Source organism: Homo sapiens, chromosome 22 (assembly GCF_000001405.40).
Source record: "Homo sapiens chromosome 22, GRCh38.p14 Primary Assembly".
Lineage (NCBI taxonomy): Eukaryota > Metazoa > Chordata > Mammalia > Primates > Hominidae > Homo > Homo sapiens.
Genome location: NC_000022.11, coordinates 33358411 through 33380439, shown reverse-complemented (window position 1 = coordinate 33380439; position 22029 = coordinate 33358411). Strand labels below are relative to the sequence as shown.

Sequence of the window (22029 nt, the reverse complement as noted above, 5' to 3'; positions counted from 1 at the left end):
GCTTGCCTTTCCAGGAATGAAATTATAGCATTAGAAAGAAAGAACTTTTTTTTAACTGCACTTGAAATTTATTTCAAAATATTAGAAAGGATTTAAAACAGAGGTGCCTGCAACATTCATTCCTTCCATCGGCATTTATTCAGTTCCTTCTGTATATCATGTGCTTGTTAGAAATAAGGAAAAGAGAAGAAACAGACAGGAATATTGTCAAGAATATCATGGATTAAAAAGTTTGGAGAGGGGGCGAAATAAAACCAACTGTGTAAAGAATATGTAAAAATGCTGGATTAAAAAATATTTTACATGCTTTGAAAGCATAATTGATCGGTTCATAAAGCAAGTAAAGAAAGCAAAGGCCAGAAACAATGACAGAGTGAATCCAAAAAGATAAGCAAAGAGCAACTGGATGTCACCTTTGCCCTTGGAAGGGATGATCCCTAGTGGCAGGGAGCCTGGTTTAAAGGTGAGCCTGGTATTATAAGAAATCTATTTAGTCTTTGTCCCTGGTTCCTGGAACAGAGCTCCTAAAACCCTTGAAATTTCCTGAGTGATAAGAACAGCTTTTATTGTGTATATGAGCCCCTTTGGGTTATACCTGAGTTTATGCTAATGAGGTGTCTTAGAGTAGGGCCCCTAGAGAGCCTCAGGATGGAAAGACCAAGTGATCAGAGGGTTAGAACTTCCCCACTGATCAATTCCCACCTACGAGTGAGAACATGCGGTGTTTGGTTTTCTATCCTTGCAATTGTTTGCTCAGAATGATGGTTTCCAGCTTCATCCATGTCCCTACAAAGGACATGAACTTATCCTTTTTTATGGCTGCATAGTGTTCCATGGTGTATATGTGCCACATTTTCTTAATCCAGTCTGTCACTGATGGACATTTGGGTTGGTTCCAAGTCTTTGCTATTGTGAATAGTGCCGCAGTAAACATAGGTGTGCATGTGTCTTTATAGCAGAACAATGAGAACACTTGGACACAGGGTGGGGAACATCACACACCGGGGCCTGTCATGGGGTGGGGGAGAGAGGAGGAATAGCATTAGGAGATATACCTAATGTAAAGGACAAGTTAGTGGGTGCAGCACACCAACATGGCACATGTACACATATGTAACAAACCTGCACGTTGTGCACATGTACCCTAGAACTTAAAGTATAATAAAAAAAAAAAAAAGAAAGAAATCACTCAGCAAATATAAAGCTTTGCCTGTGTGACTTCTTTCATAAAATAAAGACTTTACGACACTCAAAAAAAAAAAAAAGAACTTCCCCACTGAAAGTTCCATGGACCTCTGGGAAGGCAGGAGGGTGTGCTAGAAATCAAGCTCTTTAAATGCTCTTGAATAACAAGATTTGATGAACTTCTGGGTTGGTGAACACTATTGTTGCTGCAGGGTGGTGTGCCCAGAGAAGGCATGGAAGCTCCATACCCCCTCACCCCACACCCCCATATTTTGCCTTATGTACCTCTTCTCTCTGGCTGTTCCCAAGTTGCATCCTTGATAATAAGCTAGTAAATGTGTTTCCCAGAGTTTCAGGAGCCATTCTAGTAAATTATGGAACCCAAGGAGGGGATCATAGGAATCCTTGATTTACAGCAAATCTGTCAGAGGACAGGAGACTGGGATTTGCAACTGGCATCTGAAGTGGGCAGCCTCGTGGGACTAAGCCACTAACCCATAGAGTCTGATGCTTTTGTCAAGGAGGTAGTGTCACTGTTGTATTAAATTATAGGGACCCAGCTAGTGTTGAAGAACTGGTCATTGTAGGAAAATAACCCCACAATATCTGGCATCAGAAGTCTTCTGTGTGAGAGTATAGAAAAACAGTGGTTTTTCTCAATAGGTAACTGTATAATTTATTGTTCAAACAAGCGAATGCTATCATGGGATACAGAGGGACAATAGGCCAACAGGCAAAACATATAATTATTCTGTTGAAATACTATACACAGGACCTTAGGCCCACAAGAAGAAAGACCTCACATAAAGGCCTCACATAAAGTCAGGATCCACAAAGAGTATTATCCTCAGCGGATAAACAGTTAATAAAACTCAGAGTGTAGAAGAAGACAGTAGAGGTTGTTGTCTGTTTCATCCTTGGTTTTAGGTAGAATGAGGGAGAAATGTTTCCTCTGAGATTTTATTTTAAGCCTATGCCCATATTATTTTGGGGGCTGAAATTACATGTGTGGGAGCAAAAATGGAAAGAAAAAAAATTAAAAATTTGCCAGGCACTTGGCAGAAACTAACATAAATCTGATCTAGAAGAATATTCTTAAAAACAAGTCTTCAGAATTTTTTAGGGGAAGTTACAAGGAAAGCAAGGTTCTCAGGAATCACAAAACACACAAGGAAGTAAGCTACCCTGAGAAAGTGCAAAAACTGAAGACTGGAGTTAAATCTGAAAGACTGCAAATATTGGACTTACCAGATATAAAACATAAGTATTTTTATTACATGTAGAAATAAAAAATGAATATTGAAAGTAGGATGAAGGAATAGTAGATTCTCAAAAAATGAATAGCCGTATTTGGATTAAATAGTATTTTTAGAAGTGAAAGATATGATTATTGAAATTAAATGGATATGTTAAACAGCAGCTTAAACACAGCTGAAGAGAGAATTAGTGAACTGGAAGAGGTATAAGAAATTACCCAAGATGCAACACAGAATGAAAAGAGATAGAAAAACTGAGAAAGAAGCAAAGAAATTGGGATATGTCTCATTGGACTATCAGAAGGAGATAATAGAGAAAATTGGAAGTGAGGCATATCTTAAGTATGCCAAGAAACAATAACAGGTTGTATACCTAGAAGAATAATCTTTCAAGTATAAGATAACAAAGAGAATTTTCTGCAAACATGCAAAGAAACTGCTAAAGTATTGTCAGCCTTAATAATGAAGAGATCCTCTCTAAAAGAAAATTATATTTATTCTGGAATAGTGCATTGCAATGGGAATATACATGCCATAGCAAACTATGTGCATACCCAGGGAGGTAAAGGAAGATAAAGGTTTTTAAAGGAAAAATGAAGAGGATTTTATAATTGTTTGGAGATAATTATCTTTGGCCAAAGGATCAGTAACAAAGTTGACACCAGTCCAAGACTGGACAGGCAGTTGCTGGGCAGACGTGCCTGCAGAAGTTTTTATTTTGTGTGTGTAAAGTTACGATGGCATTTGTGCAAGATTGTGGTTTTCACGGAGTCTTTTGTAATCATTCTTGTTATCAGACACTTGTGGAAGAAAAGCCTCTTTCCATGGCATTCCTGGTTCTATTTGTCAGGGTTTTGTTAACACAAATGACTCCATTTTTATTTTGGCAACATTCATATTTCACCCTTTTGATCAAGATGTTTCCCCAAAAGTGTCACTGTTCAGTCATCCTTTAGTTAGGTTTTCATGTCTCTCAGTGCCAGGATGGACCTCTCCCAGGTTTCTGGTCTTGTTTCACGTTGGAGAGAATGAATGGCAGCTAGGAGTCAGTGTCAAAACCTTTTTAACCACATTTGAGCAATAAGGAAGTTTAAGTGGGGTGCTCCTCGTCTGTCTACTTGGAGTCTGTAATTAAGTTCAATTTTGTCTGTTCCATAGGCATGTGTTACCATCTCAAAGTGCTGGGTTAGCATTATACTGTTAGGATTCGTACATCTGTAAAAAATTTGAACAAGTAACAGATACAAAATTAAAGAGAAAAATGCAAAGTAAAATTAATAGTGATGTGACAAGAACAGTTTGCATAAGGACTTTGAGCAATAAACCTAGGCTTTAAAGACAGCCAATTGAATAAACAAAATGACCATTATCCTACCAAGTGAAAAAGGTAGGCTTTGTTATATCATTATGATATAGAGCCTTGTTCTGACATCTTGAAAAAAAGCTGTCTACAGCATGAAAACAATCAACTCTCGTCCTGGTTTGCAGTTTGAATGTCTCTGGTGATGGCATGGGACAGTTTGGTGAACCTTGTGTGGCCCAGACATCAGGCACGAGACTTATTTCTTAAAATTCATCTAGTTTCATCTTATAGGGCTTCCAAAACAGAGAAATTCCCATTTGTGGTAACTGCATAGAAGAAAGTAGGATTGTAGAAATCTAGAAGAGTTCTATAGGCAAATAACAAATAGCAATTTGCTCTATAGGCAAATAACAAGAACTTGAAAACAGTGCACACAGCTATCATCTAATAACAGGTGTATTCTAGCTTTCTTTAGAAATATAACTCGTGTCCGCATTTTTTTCTTTAAATCATAGCCATATGGGAAATTTTCTATTTTGTTATGGTTCTCTTTTATTGATGGGCATGCAGTGAGTGTTTCTTGGAAATGGCCAATTTTTATTAAAATATTTCTGGAAGAAAAAAAAGAACAGAAACATAACTTTTTCTTCCTACGGTGATATTGGCTTTTCCAAAAATAGAGTAAGACAAATTTGTTTCTAAAATAAATTTAGTTTTTATCAAATATTGCCTGCAAGAATAGTGATTTGACCACATAGTAATCTCAGATTTAAAAACCTTTCAAAGCTAAGCTGGTGGCAAGTGCCTGTAGTTCTAGCTACTGGGGAGGTTGAGGTGGGAGAACTGCTTCACCCCAGGAGCCTGAGGTTACAGTGAGCTGTGATTGTGCCACTGCACTCCAGCCTGAGTGACAGAGAGAAACCATGTCTCAAAAAAATAAATAAAAAATAAACATAAATAAAAATAAAAATTTCTTGAGGTTAATAAGATAACCCAAGACAGACTTTAGGTTATACTTACAGTCCTAATGTTCCTGCACCTGCCAGGAATTGATAATTTTTATTCATCTACTCTAAGGCTGAGAACCCTAGAAGTCAGGCAGTTTATACATATTCTCAGATATGACATTTCAGTCAAAGCCTTGATGATATAACCAATTGTTGCCATTGTATCCTGCTATAGAGAGAGAGTTAATTTTTTTTTTATTTTTAGGAGAGACAGAGTTTCACCATGTATGCCAGGCTGGTCTCAAACTCCTGGCCTCAAGGGGTCTGCCCACCTGGCTTACAGACATGAGCCACTGTGGCAGGCAGAGAGAGCAAATGTTATTGAACTTGTATAAATAACCATATTACCGTAAAAAATAAGAATACTCACAAAATCTCTCCAAACTTTGGAGAGAGAAAATTGGAAGAAGGAAATGCTTCTACCTTGTTCACAAATATATAGTTTACCAAATCATTGTGCACTATAGACAGCTTAGGGAAGAAAATTTCCTTAAATCTGGAAAACAAAACATTTAAGTGAAGAACTAACAGTGTTTTAAATAAAAGTCAAAAACATTATCAGTTACTTAATCTCATGCAATTTATTTTTGTTCTGCTTGAGCTTGATTAGTAGTTTCATGAATTCATGTTTCTTCATTGGAGTTCTCAAACATTTGCATTTAGTCCATTGATCTTAAAGTTTTTATTAACCTATATCTAAGAGTACTTGTTAGAGTCGCTTCCATAAATTTGCTTGCAAATGCCTTTAAAGAAGAATTCAAAACAATAGCTGTGGATAAAAACTTAGAATAGCCATGGCTAAAAATCTGATGGGAGTTCATTATAATAAGCAATTAACATGGAAATTTAGTTATTTTTGTGCCACACAACATAATGTCTAGAATTTTAACTAATGTCATATTAGATTTTTAAGAATTTTATATAATTTGGGTAGATACCCATAAATGTAATGCAAAGAAGATCTAGTATCACTTATTATTTGACAGCATTTAGCATGCAGTTCACAAAATAAGACTAATCATTTAATATTTCTACAAGATGAGAGATACATTCTTTGAGACTCTCCAGAGTCTCTGGAAAATCCAAAAGTTAATTTCAGGTCAATAAAACTTAAGTTAGAATTTTGATTCATGGAAACCTGCCAAAGATTTTAAAAGGTTGAAAGCACTTGATAAGAAGTTACTGTGAAGTAATAGTCATTCATGTAACCAGAGTGATTATCAAAAGACGATAGAGAAACTTACGTGGAATCTTAGTGCTTTCAAAACTCCATTTTCCTAAGTAATCAAATACTGAATAAAGATAACACAGGAAATTATATTGATAACATATAAAATGTTTGTTTCTTAGGCCAGTTATTAAAAAGGTAAGAAACAACTTCAGCAGGTTGATTGCTTCTCCTTGTGAGAAGCCAATGTATAATAGATAACCAGGTAGTCGACCTGATGAAAAGGGTACTTGAATTTAATCTGACATAGAAAGAATGAGTCCAAGGTTAGGAATGTATACCATATTATACAGGAATGTAAACAAGAAAACTAGCACCTTGAGCAGGGGAATACATGGTCCTTAGTAATAGCACGGGAAGTTTCTTGGTTACATGGGATAATTCCGACATGTCAAGAAAAGCCAAGAGTACAAAATCAAGGTATACTGGTGGAAGACATTGCCTTTGTAGGCCTTCAAGATAAACTTTTTTTTTTTTTTTTTTTTTTTGAGACGGAGTCTCACTCTATCCCCAGGCTGGAGTGCAATGGCGCGATATCGGCTGACTGCAACCTCCACCTCCCGGGTTCAAGTGATTCTCCTGCCTCAGCCTCCCGAGTAGCTGGAACTACAAGCGCGTGCCACCACACGTGGCTAATTTGTTGTATTTTTAGTAGAGACAGGGTTTCACCATGTTATCCAGGATGGTCTCGATCTCCTGACTTCATGATCTGCCTGCCTCAGCCTCCCAAAGTGTTGGGATTACAGGCATAAGCCACCGTACCCAAGATAAACATTTAATGGACAAGCCATAATAGCAGAGTTAGAACTGGGGGAAAAAAAACAGTTACAGGAAGGAATGGAAAACTTAAAGGAGAGAGTTATCCCAGGCCTTCTCAAGGGTAGAAAGACGAAGAGCAGAAGGCAATGATGTATGACCTGAAAATCACATGCAGCAAGATATAGCAAAAGTTGAACTTCTGAGACATGAATCTGAAAAGCTTCCAGAGGAAACCTCTGCCTCAAGAAGTGAAATTACCATTCTAAATGAAGAAGACAGCATTTCTAACCCAAAACTAGGGAAATTAAATGGATCTCAGGAAGAAATTTTGCAGAAATAGAAACTGCAGTTCAGAAGATGGCAGTTAAACAGATTTCAGAATTAAAAATTATGATCTCTTATGGTTTTACTAAGAGCAGATCAGTACTTCAAGAAAACCTTGTTGTTCTAACATAGGGGATGAAAATTTTAGTTTTGTTTTAGTGTATTTTTAATAGCAAAGCTCAATCTTTAGGAAGGCTTATAAATAATTGCCTTCTAATTACAGGCAACTTGATCACACCCACAATTTCTTTTATAAATTTATCCTTCATAAACTTTATCGTGACTTACTCAGACCTTTTACAACATGCTTAAACTTTCTGCTTTGTCCTTTACTTTCTCTTTATTAAATAACCAGTCATTTTACTTTAAGACAAAAATTTACCACATAAGATTGTTTCTCATAGGAAATGCTCTTTTCTTTTTAACTATCCTTACCAAAAATACATCCTTATATCCATAACTTTCTTCATATTACTCTCCTACTTATGGATTCCTGTCTGTCTTGTTTCTATTTCCATTCTAAATATACTTTTCGAGGCAACCTTTAAGTAACCTCTGAACTGGACAAAATTATTCTATTTTCTCAGTAAGAAACATATTTTTATGCCTTGTAATTTCATTCATCAAAACACATCTTATTTTGGTATACTTTGTGATATGATTTGGCTGTGTCCCCACCCAAATCTCATCTTGAATTGTAGCTCCCACAATTAACACATGTTGTGGGAGGGACCTGGTGGAAATAATTGAATCATGGGAGCAGTTTCCCCCACAAATTTCTCATGGTAGTAAATAGGTCTTACGAGATCTGATGGTTTTATAAGAAGTTTCCCCTATTGCTTGGCTCTCACTCTGTCTTGCCTGCTGCCATGTAAGACTTGCCTTTTGCCTTCCACCTTGATTGTGAGGCCTCCTCAACCACGTGGAACTGTGAGTCCCTTAAACCTCTTTTTCTTTATAAATTACCCAGTCTTGGATATGTCTTTATCAGCAACATGAAAATGGATTAATACACTTTGTATACAGAATTATATATAAATTAATTAGGATTTTATTCTTAGTAACCTTAATTTCTAGTGAAAACCTAGGAAGCCAAAAATTTTGAATTCTCTGTCACATATCAGCATTTTGTAATAAGAACTATTTTATAATTTTTAGAAGCATGTTTTAATAGACTCAAATATATTTAAGAAGCTGAAAACAACTTATATTTATGTTCAGCAATTTGTTCTTATTTTTATGGAAATGACCCAGACATTTGATGAGTGTTTTTTATTTAATGTAACATAGCATAACCTTATGATTTTAAAGTACATGAAAAGTTATTTTATAAACATTTATTCCACATTCCATTTATTCCAAATGTTTATTTTATAAACTTTTTTTTTTTTTTTGAGATGGAGTCTCGCTCTGTCGCCCAGGCTGGAGTGCAGTGGTGCAATCTCAGCTCACTGCAAGCTCTGCCTCCCACATTCACAACATTCTCCTGCCCCAGCCTCCCGAGTAGCTGGGACTACAGGCGCCCGCCACCATGCCCGGCTAATTTTTTGTATTTTTAGTGGAGACGAGGTTTCACCGTGTTAGCCAGGATGGTCTCGATCTCCTGACCTCATGATCCACCCACCTCGGCCTCCCAAAGTGCTGGGATTATAGGCGTGAGCCACCGCGCCCGGCAAACATTTACTCCATTTACATTTACCTAATTTACTGATTTTTAACAATTCACCTAGATTACTTATGAAAACTGAAATATTACACAAAGCGAATCATCATTTCAAGTTATTGTCCTGTTAACCATTTTTGTATTTTGTGAATATCAGGTGTTTGTTTAAGTAAGAGCCTGAAAGTAAAATACACAAGTATTTTGCCTGTAACTCAGAAGCTACAACTGTTTTTATTAAACCAATATTAAATTAGTCCTACTTATCAAGGAGTTACACAAAGATTATTCTGTTTTCAAGTTGACTTCATAGCTTCATGACTTTAAAACATGTAGCAGAAACAAATACAAAACCCAGCCAAAAATGTATGCTGCCAGTTTCGAAGATATTTCCATTTTTATTTTACCAATGATTTAAAAACCATCTTATTTATCAAAGTTTTATTTAAGTCACAGGAACTAAAAGGCATTTGGGTTAATTACTATATATTTTATATGTGTGATAATTCATCTAAGCCAATCAAAATAAAATTTCTTAGGAGTTTTTTTTTTGGCCAACTATTCCACATTTTACTATGTAGATACAGCATAACATATATTATCTAACATAATGCATGTTATATAATATGTATTATTCATATAACATGTTATTCTATAACATGTATTATTCGTGTTCTATGAATATACTATGAATATTATATTTCATTATACATTTTATTTTACATTTCTTAGATTTTACTATGTAGACATAACATATATAAAATGATAAATGTTATATGTATTATTCATGTTATGTTATATGAATACTATTCATTGTTATATCCATTAATATTCAATAATTATTGAATATTATTAATTTATTAATATTAATATCAATTATTTAATTTAACAGTGTTAAATTATTGATGGTATTTAATGATTTGATAATATTAATATTTATAATGCAATAATAATGTTCTATAATATAATATGTATTATTATAACACCTATTCCAGATTTTACTTTGTAAATACAACATAACATATTATATAACATAATACATGTACATGTTGGTAACCACACCTAAACACATAGACATACATACACAAAGATCTTACTGCTTTTATTTTAGAATTTTAGCCATGAGATAGTAATACAAACTCACCCATTTATAAACAACGATTGCATTCAAATTATATTTCTCTCAAAATTGGGACCTTTTTACATAGCTAAACTTAAATGCTAATCTAGTGAAGGCTATGGATCAAAGTTTTGGATAAAGCAGTTTGATTTTTTAAAAAACCTCTTTTACCTTTTTTTGTTTCCTTTCTTCAGCTTCAAATGAGTTTACATTTTAGCTGGGAGTGACGAATTGTATAAGAAAAACAAAATCTCCAGTGGCCTTGAATTAGTAACACATTTATCTTTGTTCACTGATCCCCTTTGCTAGTCAATGGTTATGGGGAAGCATCTTAACAAGAGTTTTGTTTTCCAGCTATTTTTTTTTAACGGCCCCTGTGTGGCAGACACAACAGTTTTTATGCTGGAAAGAGATACCTTATATTACTGTTCTGACCTCAAGATTTTGACCTGAGAGCCTAACCTTCATAATGATTTATCTAATTTTTATTATTTTAGGCTATCAGTCCCCTTAGTTAACTGCTCTAGCATCCTAAGCAATTGGTAGCCAGGCAAACCCAAATTTACATTTGCAAAAGATGTCTAGGTTGTTGGTTACTTTGGAGCTGTTGTAATATGTAAAGCCATTTATTTAAAAGCCCTTTAAGACTTTTTTTTTTTTTTAATCTTGGCTAGAATGCCATAAGCACTGAATTTTATCTCAACACCAGCAGAAAAGTCAACTGATTTAGGCCAGGCACAGTGGCTCACGCCTGTAATCCTAGCACTTTGGGAGGCCAAGGCAGGTGGATCACTTGAGTTCAGGAATTCGAGACCAGCTTGGCCAACATGGTGAAACCCCGTCTCTACTAAAAATATAAAAATTAGCCGGGTGTGGTGATGTGCACCTGTAATCCCAGCTACTCAGGAGGCTGAGGCAGGCGAATTGCTTGAACCCTGCCTGGAGGCAGAGGTTGCAGTGAGCCTAGATCGTGCCACCGCACTCCAGTCTGGGCTATAGAGCAAGACTCTGTCTCAAAAATAAAAAAGAAAAAGAAAAGTCACCAGATTTAAAGTAGGCAGTAAAAAAAGTAGAGATAGAGAACTAAGAAGGCTCTGTTATCTATATAATCACAAACTCTTAATTTGGGGAAAAAAAAACCAAGAAAATAGAAAAAAGAAGCTTGGGGAGTTCAAATAATCTGTGTTGTGGCTGTTGATCCAAAAACATGCATGAGGAAAGCCTTGTAATTAGCTGGAGTCTCTGAAAACCTGGCACACCTTCATGTGGGAGAATCCCATTCTATTTCTTATCAATCTCTTGAGAGCAAAGAAAATTCCATAAATCCTATCTGAGAATGTCAGGATTTTGGACTTGTGTCTCTTCCTGTGACATTTTGGTAATGTTCATTGTTATTATATCTGATTTAAAATACTACATAAACTTAGTTGATAAAGCAGGGGCAGGATTTGAGAAGATTGGCTCCAATTTTGAAAGAAGTTCTATTGTAGGTAAGAATTATCAAACTGCATCAATTGCTACAGAGAAACTTTTCATGAAAGGAAGAGTCGATCCATGTGGGAAACTTCATTGTTACCTTATTTTAAGAAATTGGCCACAACCACCCCAACCTTCCAACAACCACCACCCTGATCAGTCAGCAGCCATCAACACCAAGACAGGACCCTCCACCAGCAAAAGGATTGTGACTCACTGAAGGCCAGGTGATCATTAACATTTTTTAGAAATAAAGTATTTCTTAATTAAAGTACGTATTTTTTTAGACATAATGCTGTTGTACACTTAACAGAGTACAGTGTAGTTTAAACATAATTTTTATATGTATCGGAAAACCAAAAAATGTGATTCACTTCATGTGGTATTCACTTTATTACAGTAGTCTGAAACCAAACCCACAATATCTCCAAGTTATGCCTGTATATATATCTGTCCAAATACATATACACAAACAGGCACACACACACACAGAGCTCATTAGAACTCCAGGGAGAAATTGATAAGTCCATTTTCATCTTGGAATATTTAACATATTTTTTCTTTTTTCCTTTTTTTTTTTTTTTTTTTGAGAAAGAGTCTTGCTCTGTTGCCCAGGCTGTGGTGCAGTGGCATGATCTCAGCTCACTGCAACCTTCACTTCCCATGTTCAAACGATTCTCCTGCCTCAGCCTCGCAAGTAGCTAGGACTACAGGTGCCCGCCACCACGCCTGGCTAATTTTTGCATTTTTGGTAGAGATGGGGTTTCGCCATGTTGGCCAGGCTGGTCTCAAACTCTTGACCTCAGGTGATCGGCCTCCCACCTCGGCCTCCCAAAGTGCTGGGATTACAGGCATGAGCCACCGCACCCAGCCCATATTTTTTTTCAAATGTTGAAATATCAAAAGACAAAAATTACTAAGACTATAGAAGATTTAAACTACACAGTTAACATGTTGACTTATTGGGCAAATAAGGAACCTTGTACCTAATGATCTGAGAGTATACATCCTTCTTAGGCTCATATGGAACATTTATTAAAAAGAAACCAAGTACTAGACATCAATACATTTCAAAGAATGATATTATACTATAGTTCTCTGAAGAAAGCAAAATTAAATAAGAAGGCAGTAACAATAAGGTTTTTAAAAATCTATTTGATTACAATTGAAAACATACTTTTACATTACTCATGGTTCTAAACATAAATAATTTAAATTGAAAACTACTTAGAGCCTAAATGAAAATAAAAATAATATGTCAAAATTAGTGGGATAAAATAACATGTAAGGAAATGTATATCCTTAAATGTTTATATTAAAAAGAAGAAAAGTTGAAAATTAATAAGCCAAGTTTGCAACTCAAGATGATATATTAATATAAACAACGTTAGAGTTGGCCGGGCCTGGTGACTCATGCCTGTAATCCCAGCAACTTGGGAGGCTGAGATGGGAGGATCCCTTGAGTTCAGGAGTTTAAGACCAGCCTCAGCAACAAAGCAAGACCTCCATCTCTACCAAAAAATAAATAAATGGGGGGATGGGAGTGGGGCAGTGGTGGTAGCTACTCAAGTCCCAGTTCCTAGAGAGGCTGAGGCAGGATTACTTGAGCCCAGGAGCTCCAGACTGCAGTAAACTGTGATTGCACCACCGTACTACAGCCTGGGTAACAGAATGAGACCCTGTCTCTAAAAACAAAACACAACAGAACAGAACATTAAATTCAAATGCAATCAAATTGAAGTTGGTCAGCAAATTGATCAATAAAGTCAAAAGTTTGAAAGGGACCAATAAAATAGACAAACCTATGGCGAGACTCATCAAGAAAAAAGAAAGTGAACTCACCAAGAAATGAATAGGGGCACCTAATTCCAGATCCACTTACTCATTCTCTCATTGTTTTTGAGCAAGTGACTTCTGAGTTCTAGATATACAGCAAAGATAAAGCAAACAGTCTCAGTTGGTGGAGCTTTCAATCAATTAGCAGAATTGAAAAAAAAAATAGAATACTGTGAACAACATTATGTGAACAAATTTGAGAATTTTTGTTAAATGGACAAATTCCTAGAAATGTGTTACTTACCAAAACCGATTTAAGAAAAAAGTATAAAGTTTAGATTATCTTCTAGCCATTAAACCTTTTTAAAACAGTACCCCTAGACGGCAAGTAGAAATAAGTTCTACCAATTTTTTTTAATCCAAGGACATTTCCAATTTTAAATAAACTTTTCTAGAGAATATGAAAAGAGGAACACTTTTTAACCCATTCAGCAAAGCCAGGATATTATCAACACCAAAATCAGACAAAAAAAAAGTGCATTAGTCTGTTCTCATGCTGTTAATAAAGACATACTCGAGACTGAAACTAGGTAATTTATAAAGGAAAGAGGTGTAATTGACTCACAGTTCCACAGGGCTGGGGAGGCCTCACAATCATGGCGGAAGACGAAAGAGAAGCAAAGTCACGTCACAAAGACAGGAAGATTGCAAGCCAGTCTCACTCATGAATATAGATGCAAAAATCTTAAGCAAAATATTTAGCAAACCAAATCTAGCCATGTATAAAATAGATAATATATCATTGCCAAGTTGGGTTTGTTCCAGGAAAGACAAGAGTGATTTAGCATTGAAAAATCCACGTGTCATTCAGCATGTTAATAGATTAAAGGAGAAATACCAAATAATCATATAAACAGATGAAGGAAAGTTATTTGACAAAATTACGTGCTCATTCATGATAAAAACTCTCATAAATAGTAACTAGTGAAAACCTACAGTAAACTATTGCTGAGCATTTGCTCAGGGCCGTGCAATTAGTTGGAAAGAGGAGAGCGTGCAAGAGCACACACACATTTATGAAAGCATTTTGGTATATGAAGAGGCAACATACCTGATCATTGAAGAAATGATTAAGTTTTCCATAAACTGTGCTGAGACACCTGATTATCCACATGGAAAAAATTTAAGTGGATCCCTGTCTCATACCATGCATAAAATTAATTCCAGACGGATTAGAAACTTAGAAAGTGAAGGGCCAAATTAAACTTTTATTTTTTAAATGAAAAGGGAAACTGGCCTTAAGACTTCAGAATGGAGAAGTATGTATTCAACAAGACATCAAAAACGCATACCATAAATGAATGAATCCGTAAATTTAATCACATTGATATCAATAACTCAATCAAACAGGCATTAAAAAGAGAAAAGCAGGCCAGGTGCAGTGGCTCACGCCTGTAATCCCAGCACATTGGGAGGCCAAGGCAGGTGCCTCACTTGAGCTCAGGAGTTCGATACCAGCCTGGCCAACATGTGAAACCCCATCTCTACTAAAAATACAAAAATTAGCCAGACGTGGTGGCGCATGCCTGTAGTCCCAGCTACTCAGGAGGCTAAGGCAGGAGAATTTCTTGAGCCCGGGAGGTGGAGAGGTTGCAGTGAGCCGAGATTGTGCCACTGCACTCCAGCCTAGGCAACAGAGCAAGACTCCATCTCAAAAAAAAAAAAAAAAGAGAGAAAAGCAAAAGATACTTCAACACATGTAACTGACAAGAGAGCACTAAACAAAATATATAAGCAACTCTTAATATTGAATGATAAATCTGTAAAACATGTAAACAGTCCTTTCACTTGGTTGCCAGGCAAATGGCCAATAAACACATGAAAAGATATATAGCCTCGCTGTTCATCAGGGAAGTGAAAATTAAGACCACAAATAATTTTATAGCCACCAAATTGGAAGAGTGATACTATCAAGTCTCAGTTGACCAGTGGTCTGTTATGTCACCCATAGGAGTGTGTATGGATACACCAAATTGGAAAACACTTTGGCACTATATTGAAAAATTGAAGTGGAATATACCTTACAATCTGGGTCTTGGATGTAATAGGTCACAAATGGAGAAGTGGATGACTTTCTAAAGAAAGTCAGGTTCAGCCATCAGTGAGCGAATTACAACAGATAGAAGTAGTGCTTTGGAAGGCCTGTGTCCTCCTGATGAATGACATTTCTTGACCAGGCAGGGCACAGGAGACTTCTAAACTCTCAAGTCTTTTTATATCAAAAATAAAAACATAAAAATAAGTACAACTAAAAACTTTGGCAGGCCTTGAAAAGGGATAAAATTCTGAAGGTCAGGCATGGTGGTTCATGCCAGTAATCTCAGCACTTTGGGAGGCTGAGGCAGGTGGATTGCTTGAGCCCAGGAGTTTGAGACCAGCCTAGGCAACATAGTAAGACCCCCGTCTCTACAAAAAATAAAAAATTAGCCGGCATGGTGGCATGTGCCTGTAGTCTCAGCTACTTGGGTGGCTGCGGTGGGACGTTTGCATGAACCCAGGAGGCAGAGGATGCAGTGACCTGTGATTGTGCCACTGCACTCCAACCTGGGCAACAAAACAAAAAACTGACATATGCTATAACTTGGATGAACTTTGAGGACATTATGCTTAGTGACCTAAGCCAAACACAAAAGGACAAATACTGTATTATTTAACTTAAATGACTTATGTAAAGTGGCATGAAACATGCTACTTAAAATGGCATGCAATTTAAAATATGAATTATTTCTGGAATCTTCCATTTAATATTTTCAGACAGTGGTTGACCTCTGGTAACTGAAGTGGAGAAAAGCAAAACCCCGAGTAAGGAGAGGCTGTTGTACTCCCAAGGGAAGAACATAAAAAACAGCAATTAGGAGGTCCTTCGTAAACGCGGAACGGGATTGAAAAAACAAAAGATGGGAGGAAGCGGAGAAAAAGAATGAAAATAGGCCGGACACAGTGGCTCACGCCTGTAATCCCAGCACTTTGGGAGGCCGAGGCGGGCGGATCACGAGGTCAGGAGATGGAGACCATCCTGGCTAACACGGTGAAACCCCGTCTCTACTAAAAATACAAAGAAAAATTAGCCGGGCGTGGTGGCGGGCGCCTGTAGTCCCAGCTACTCGGGAGGCTGAGGCAGGAGAATGGCGTGAACCCGGGGGGCGGAGTTTGCAGTGAGCCGAGATTGCGCCACTGCACTCCAGCCTGGGCGACAGAGCGAGACTCCGTCTCAAAAAAAAAAAAATATATAGCAAAGATGCACTTTGACCAGGACTCTGAGACCCAGATTGGCCTGGTGGGACAGACGGTGTTCTTGGGTCATCCCTGAGGGCTCCACAGAAATGTCCAGGCACCAAGAGGACCCAGAGGGTCTCACCATCCCGCTCAGTCCCACCCGGGAGGTGAATCATCCCTTCATCCAGCATCTCCATGCTGTCTGCACTACTGGCCTGTGAATCACTTAGTAGCCATCTCAGTTATCAGATTGACTCTCTGGGATCGCAATGCTTGTGTTCAAGTCGCCCTAATTTTACTTCGTCATGGCTCCAAAGTGCAAAAGCAGTGGTGCTGACGTATTATAATTATTCAGTTTTATTATAATTTATTGTTATTAATCTTTCACTGTGCCTAATTATGAGTTAAACTAATCATAAGTATGTATGTATAGGAAAAAACATGGTATGGAGTTAGGTACGTGATACGGTTTGGCTGTATCACCACCCAAACCTCATCTTGAATTGTAGCCCCCATAATCCCCATGTGTTGTGGGAGGAACCCAGTGGGAGTTACGTAATTGAATCACGGGGGTGATTTTCCCCATACTGTTCTTGTGGCAGTGAATAAGTCTCATGAGATCTGATGGTTTTATAAGGGGTTTCCCTTTTCCCTTGGGTCTCATTCTTTCTCTTGCCTGTTGCCAATGTAAGCCATGCCTTTCACCTTCCACCATGATTGTGAGGCCTCCCCAGCCACACGGAACTGTGAGTTCTCCATTAAACCTCTTTTTCTTTATAAATTACCCAGTCTTGGGTATGTCTTTATCAGCAGCGTGAAAACGGACTTATACAGCACTATTGCATGGTTTCAGGCAACCATTCTGGGTTTTGGAATGTGTGCAGATACTACTGTAGACAGGGGGACCCTGCCTCTCCTGGTCTCCCTCAGCTCACACTCTGCTACTCCAAAGGAGAGTCAACCTGAGCAGCCCCCTGTGGGAAAAGCGGGAGCCCCATGCTGGGTCAGATGATTGAAAATGTCATTTAAAGCGAGAATCATAAAAATATTTTAACCTTGATTTGCTTTCTTTTCATCCACAGGCCAGGTTTTTTGATCTGCTAATTGAGTGCTGTATTATCTTGCATAAACCACCCTCATGCATCTTCTGTGGTTATCGGTGTCCTTTCATTCAAAGTGAAACAAGAACTTAAGGACTCTTCCAAAACAATTGGAGGACGGTCCTGGGTTAGTTCTATTTTCCCCCCTTTAGTCTCACCCACACCTAACACAAAAGCAAATTTGTTTAGGGACTTCTTTTCATTGAGCTGTTGCAAAGCGTTTAGTTTGCCTTTCAGGGAAACAGCAATTCTTTGTAGTTACATACCATAAACTCAAATAATATTTAATTAGATTTCCAATTGCATTAGAAACACAAGATAGAAAAACACCTTCGGTAATAATCACAGCTCACTCTTGCTGAGCACAGAGCCCATTTGTAGGAACAGACATCCTCTGACATCCTACTAGCGAGAGGCTTACCAGCCTTGGGCATCTACTTTGCCCTAGGTGTCCATGGAGAACTTTGTGCTAAGTAGAGGTTGGTTAAGAGAACTTCTAAGGGGAGAGGTGTTTTCACTGAAGAGGCAAAAGTGTATATCCTTTGGGAGCCAAGCAATCTTGTAAATTCTGATGACAGTTTTGCTTCTTACCAACTGAAGGACTTGAGTAAATCACTTAACCTCTCCCAGGTTCAGTTACATTATTGAGAAAATTGAGGCCATTATTCTTTGCCCCATTCTCAGCCATGCCCCTTGAGTGCTCCATAGAAATACACTTGACTTTACCTCAGTCTTTGTGTTTCAGGACCTTCATTGTTATCTCTTTAGTCCTTACGCTTGATAACTCAGCCTTCCCTGGCTGAGTCTTAAATTAAAAAGAGAAGGGAAGGGCCCAAGGGAGCATCTTTTTATCACTTTACCAGTGGCACAAACTCTTAGGAGACCAGAGTGTGTAGTGTGCTGGTTTACAGAAAGGAGCATGAGAGAATTCTGTGAAACTTTGCTCTAGTTCTTGAGCCTTTGATGGACCATTAGAGAATGAAGCTCTGGCCAGAATCAGTTGGTAATGACCAGGAAAGGGAAAGCAGAGGGTCTACCAATGGGTCTCTCTAGGGGTTTCTAGAGTCCCAGAGCTGAGTGAGCCATGGTTCCTGCTCTCAGAAAAGTCTCTAGTGAGACCTAATTGGTGAGTAATGGAAAATTCCAATAGAGTCTGCTAGGTGCTGTGATGTAAGGAAGTGAGGGAGCCTAACAGAGCAAGAGGAGGGACTCTAAAGAGGAGGGACTCTAAAGAGGAGGGACTCTGAGCCAGTTGGGGAGTGTGATGCAGAATCTGAATCTCAAGGAATTCAGATTCAGATAGGAAACCTGAGCTGAATCTTGATATCCAAACTCCCAGACACCTGAACTCTCTTCCTTCCCCATCTGCTGCCCTCACACTACCCCTCAGCCCCAAAACATCCTTGCTGCCCCTCTCCACAGTCCTGTGAAAACTGCTGCTCCTCCCCTGCTCATATCTCCAGAGCAGGGAGTAAGTGCAAGGACTACACGAGAAAGAGTGGAAACCCAAATGCAAGTTAAGAAGAAATAGATGCACACAGCTGGGCCATTGCTTCAAAAATGTTTATGTAGAATGCATTGAGCTCTTTCTGGAATCAACAGGAAGTACATTTCAGAGGAAGTTGTTGTGTCAAACCCCTGTGAACCTCATTAGGAAAGTCATCAGCTCCAAGAGGCTGAAGAAGAGACCCAGAGACAGCAAACCAGAACCAGACATGGTTTATTTTTATTTTTATTTATTTATTTATTATTATTATTTTTTTAAACAGTCTTGCTCTGTCACCCAGGCTGGAGTGCAATGGCGCATTCTCGGCTCACTGTAACCCCCACCTCTCAGGTTCAAGCAATTCTGCCTCAGCCTCCCGAGTAGCTGGGATTACAGGCATGGTGGTGCACGCCTGTAATTTTTGTATTTTTAGTAGAGACTGGGTTTCACCATGTTGGGCAGGCTTGTCTTGAACTCCCGACCTCGTGATCCACCCGCCTCGGCCTCCCAAAGTGCTGAGATTATAGGCGTGAGCCACTGTGCCCGGCCGACATGGGGTTTTATCGGGATTACATACAGGGGAGAGAGTCCAGCGGCAGCAGGCTGGACAGGAGAGCTGCCTTATGTACAGAAAGAGTCCAGTGGCAGTGGGCTGGACAAGATACCTGCCTTCGTACAGCCCAGTGGCGGTGGGCTGGGCAGGAAAACTGCAATTATCTGCAAACATCACGCAGTTTATATAGCATTTTCACTTAACACTCTCCCACTAATGACCTTGATACGGTTTAAATCTGTGTCCCCCTCCAAATCTCATGTTGAAGTGTAATCCCCAGTGCTGGAAGTGGGGCCTGCTGGGAGGTGCTTGGATCATGGGGGTGGTTTCTCATGAATGGTTTAGCACCATCCGCATCGTGTTGTTCTTATGATAGTGTTCTCACAAGATCCGATTGTTTAAAAGTGTATAGCATCTCCTCCCTCTTTCTCTTGCTGCTCTGGCCCACATAAGACATGTGTAAGTTTCTGCCATGCCCCTTCTGCCATGATTGTAAGTTTCCTGAGGCCTCTCTAGAAGCAGATGCCACTATGCTTCCTGTACAGCCTGCAGAACCATGAGCCAATTAGACCTCTTTATAAATTACCAGCCCTCAGGGTTTTTTTGTTTTTGTTTTTGGAGACACAGCCTTGCTCTGTTGCCCAGGCTGGAGCACAGTGGCGTGGTCTTGGCTCACTGCAACCTCCACCTCCCAGGTTCAAGCAGTTCTCCTGCCTGAACCTCCCAAGTAGCTGGGACTACAGGCACACGTCACTACGCCTGGCTAATTTTTGTATTTTTAATAGAGACGAGGTTTCACCATGTTGGCCAGACTGGTCTCAAACTCGAACCTCAAGTGATCTGCCCACCTCAGTCTCCCAAAGTGCAGGGATTACAGATGTGATTTCTTTATAGCAATGTAAGAATGGACTAATACAGAACTCTAACTGGCAACCTTCATTTAACCCAAAACTCAGGACTTTGGTCCCATATATGGGCTCAGATGTTCCTTATAGACAAGGAAGGAATCTCTGGGTTGGCCACTCCTAGATTGTCTAGCTCAGAACACACGTTAAGATGAGTCTGCTGGCTGGGTGCGGTGGCTCACGCCTGTGATCCCAGCACTTTGGGAGGCCGAGGCGGGCAGATCACAAGGTCAGGAGATCGAGACCATCCTGGCTAACACAGTGAAACCCCATCTCTACTAAAAATACAAAAAAATTAGCCGGGCGTGGTGGTGGGCGCCTGTAGTCCCAGCTACTCGAGAAGCTGAGGCAGGAGAATGGTGTGAACCCGGGAGGCGGAGCTTGCAGTGAGCCAAGATCGCGCCACTGAGCTCCAGCCTTGGCAACAGAGCGAGACTCCATCTCAAAAAAAAAAAAAAAAAAAAAGATGAGTCTGCCATACAGGGTCGTTCTAAGGGTTGCTTAAGTTGCTGCTCTCAGGTGTGTTTATCCTACAGAAGTGAGCTGTCACAGCTTCATTGTGGGCCTCAAAAGATGAAAAGGAGTTTTCCAGGATGATTGGCTGGGAATGGTGTTCCAGGCATGACCTCACTTAATCTTCCCAAGTCTCACAAGGTAAATCTTTTTTCATTTTATAAGTCAGAAAATGAAGGATCACACAGGTTAAGTCACTTTTCTTGCCCAGTCACACAGCTAAATATGACAGAGCTGAGATTCCAACTCACATCTGTCTGATTCCAAGTCCGCAGCATTTTCCTCTGATACAGCAATGAGTTTCTACCTGAAAATATTTTCCAATGAAAACATGATATATAACATAATGACTGTATAGAACTATTGTATGGGACTGTATACAGTCCCTCTTGTGTAGGGCTATTCTGCATGAACTCTGTTTGGATTAAGTGGGTTTTAGAGGGTTAACTCCAGAACAGAGCCCCTTAATAATACTATATCCTTGAAAGGACATTTGAATTTTTTTTTTTTTTTTTAAGATGGAGTCTCACTCTGTCGCCCAGGCTGGAGTGCAATAGTGCAGTCTCGGCTCACTTCAAGCTCCACCTCCCGGGTTCACACCATTCTCCTGCCTCAGCCTCCCGAGTAGCTGGGACTACAGGTGCCTGCCACCACACCTGGCTAATTTTTTGTTGTTGTTGTTGTATTTTAAGTAGAGATGGATTTTCACTGTGTTAGCCAGGGTGGTCTCAAACTCCTGACCTCATGATCCACCCGGCTCGGCCTCCCAAAGTGCTGTGAGCCACTGCACCCGGCCAGGACATTTGAATTTTAAACAACAGACTCAGAGGCTGAATTTTAGACCCCAGTCCATTTATAAATTGGTAATTGAGTACACCTAAAAGAAAAATCCTAAAGCAGAAGAGAAAAACCAAGAGAAAAGATGCCAGCCATAGGAGGAAATGATATATCTTCTTAGGGGCAATTTATAGCATTTGCATAAAAAAAGTAGCCCATAACTCAAGCATTGAAACATTTTATAATAGTTAGAGTTGTGTCAGTTTCTACATCTTTGGGGGAAGATGAGGGGCTACCATATATCAGCATACTGAACATGTCACAG

At 38.9% G+C, this 22029-nt stretch overlaps 1 protein-coding gene across 27 annotated transcripts in view; it reads left to right on the top strand.

The window, feature by feature from the left end:
* The window catches only part of LARGE1 (LARGE xylosyl- and glucuronyltransferase 1), an 856162-nt gene that overhangs the window by 542385 nt on the left and 291748 nt on the right, over positions 1-22029 (top strand). Inside the window, exon 11 of one of the 27 annotated variants that reach the window (XM_024452303.2) lies at positions 15909-17154. The exons of 25 other annotated variants lie outside the window; for them this stretch is intronic. In XM_024452303.2, the coding sequence (XP_024308071.1) occupies positions 15909-15929 (21 nt within the window). In that variant the 3' untranslated portion in view covers positions 15930-17154. Of the gene's footprint in view, positions 1-15908; positions 21069-22029 lie in introns of those variants that run through there. One more of the 27 variants, XM_011530513.3, reaches the window with a different exon arrangement.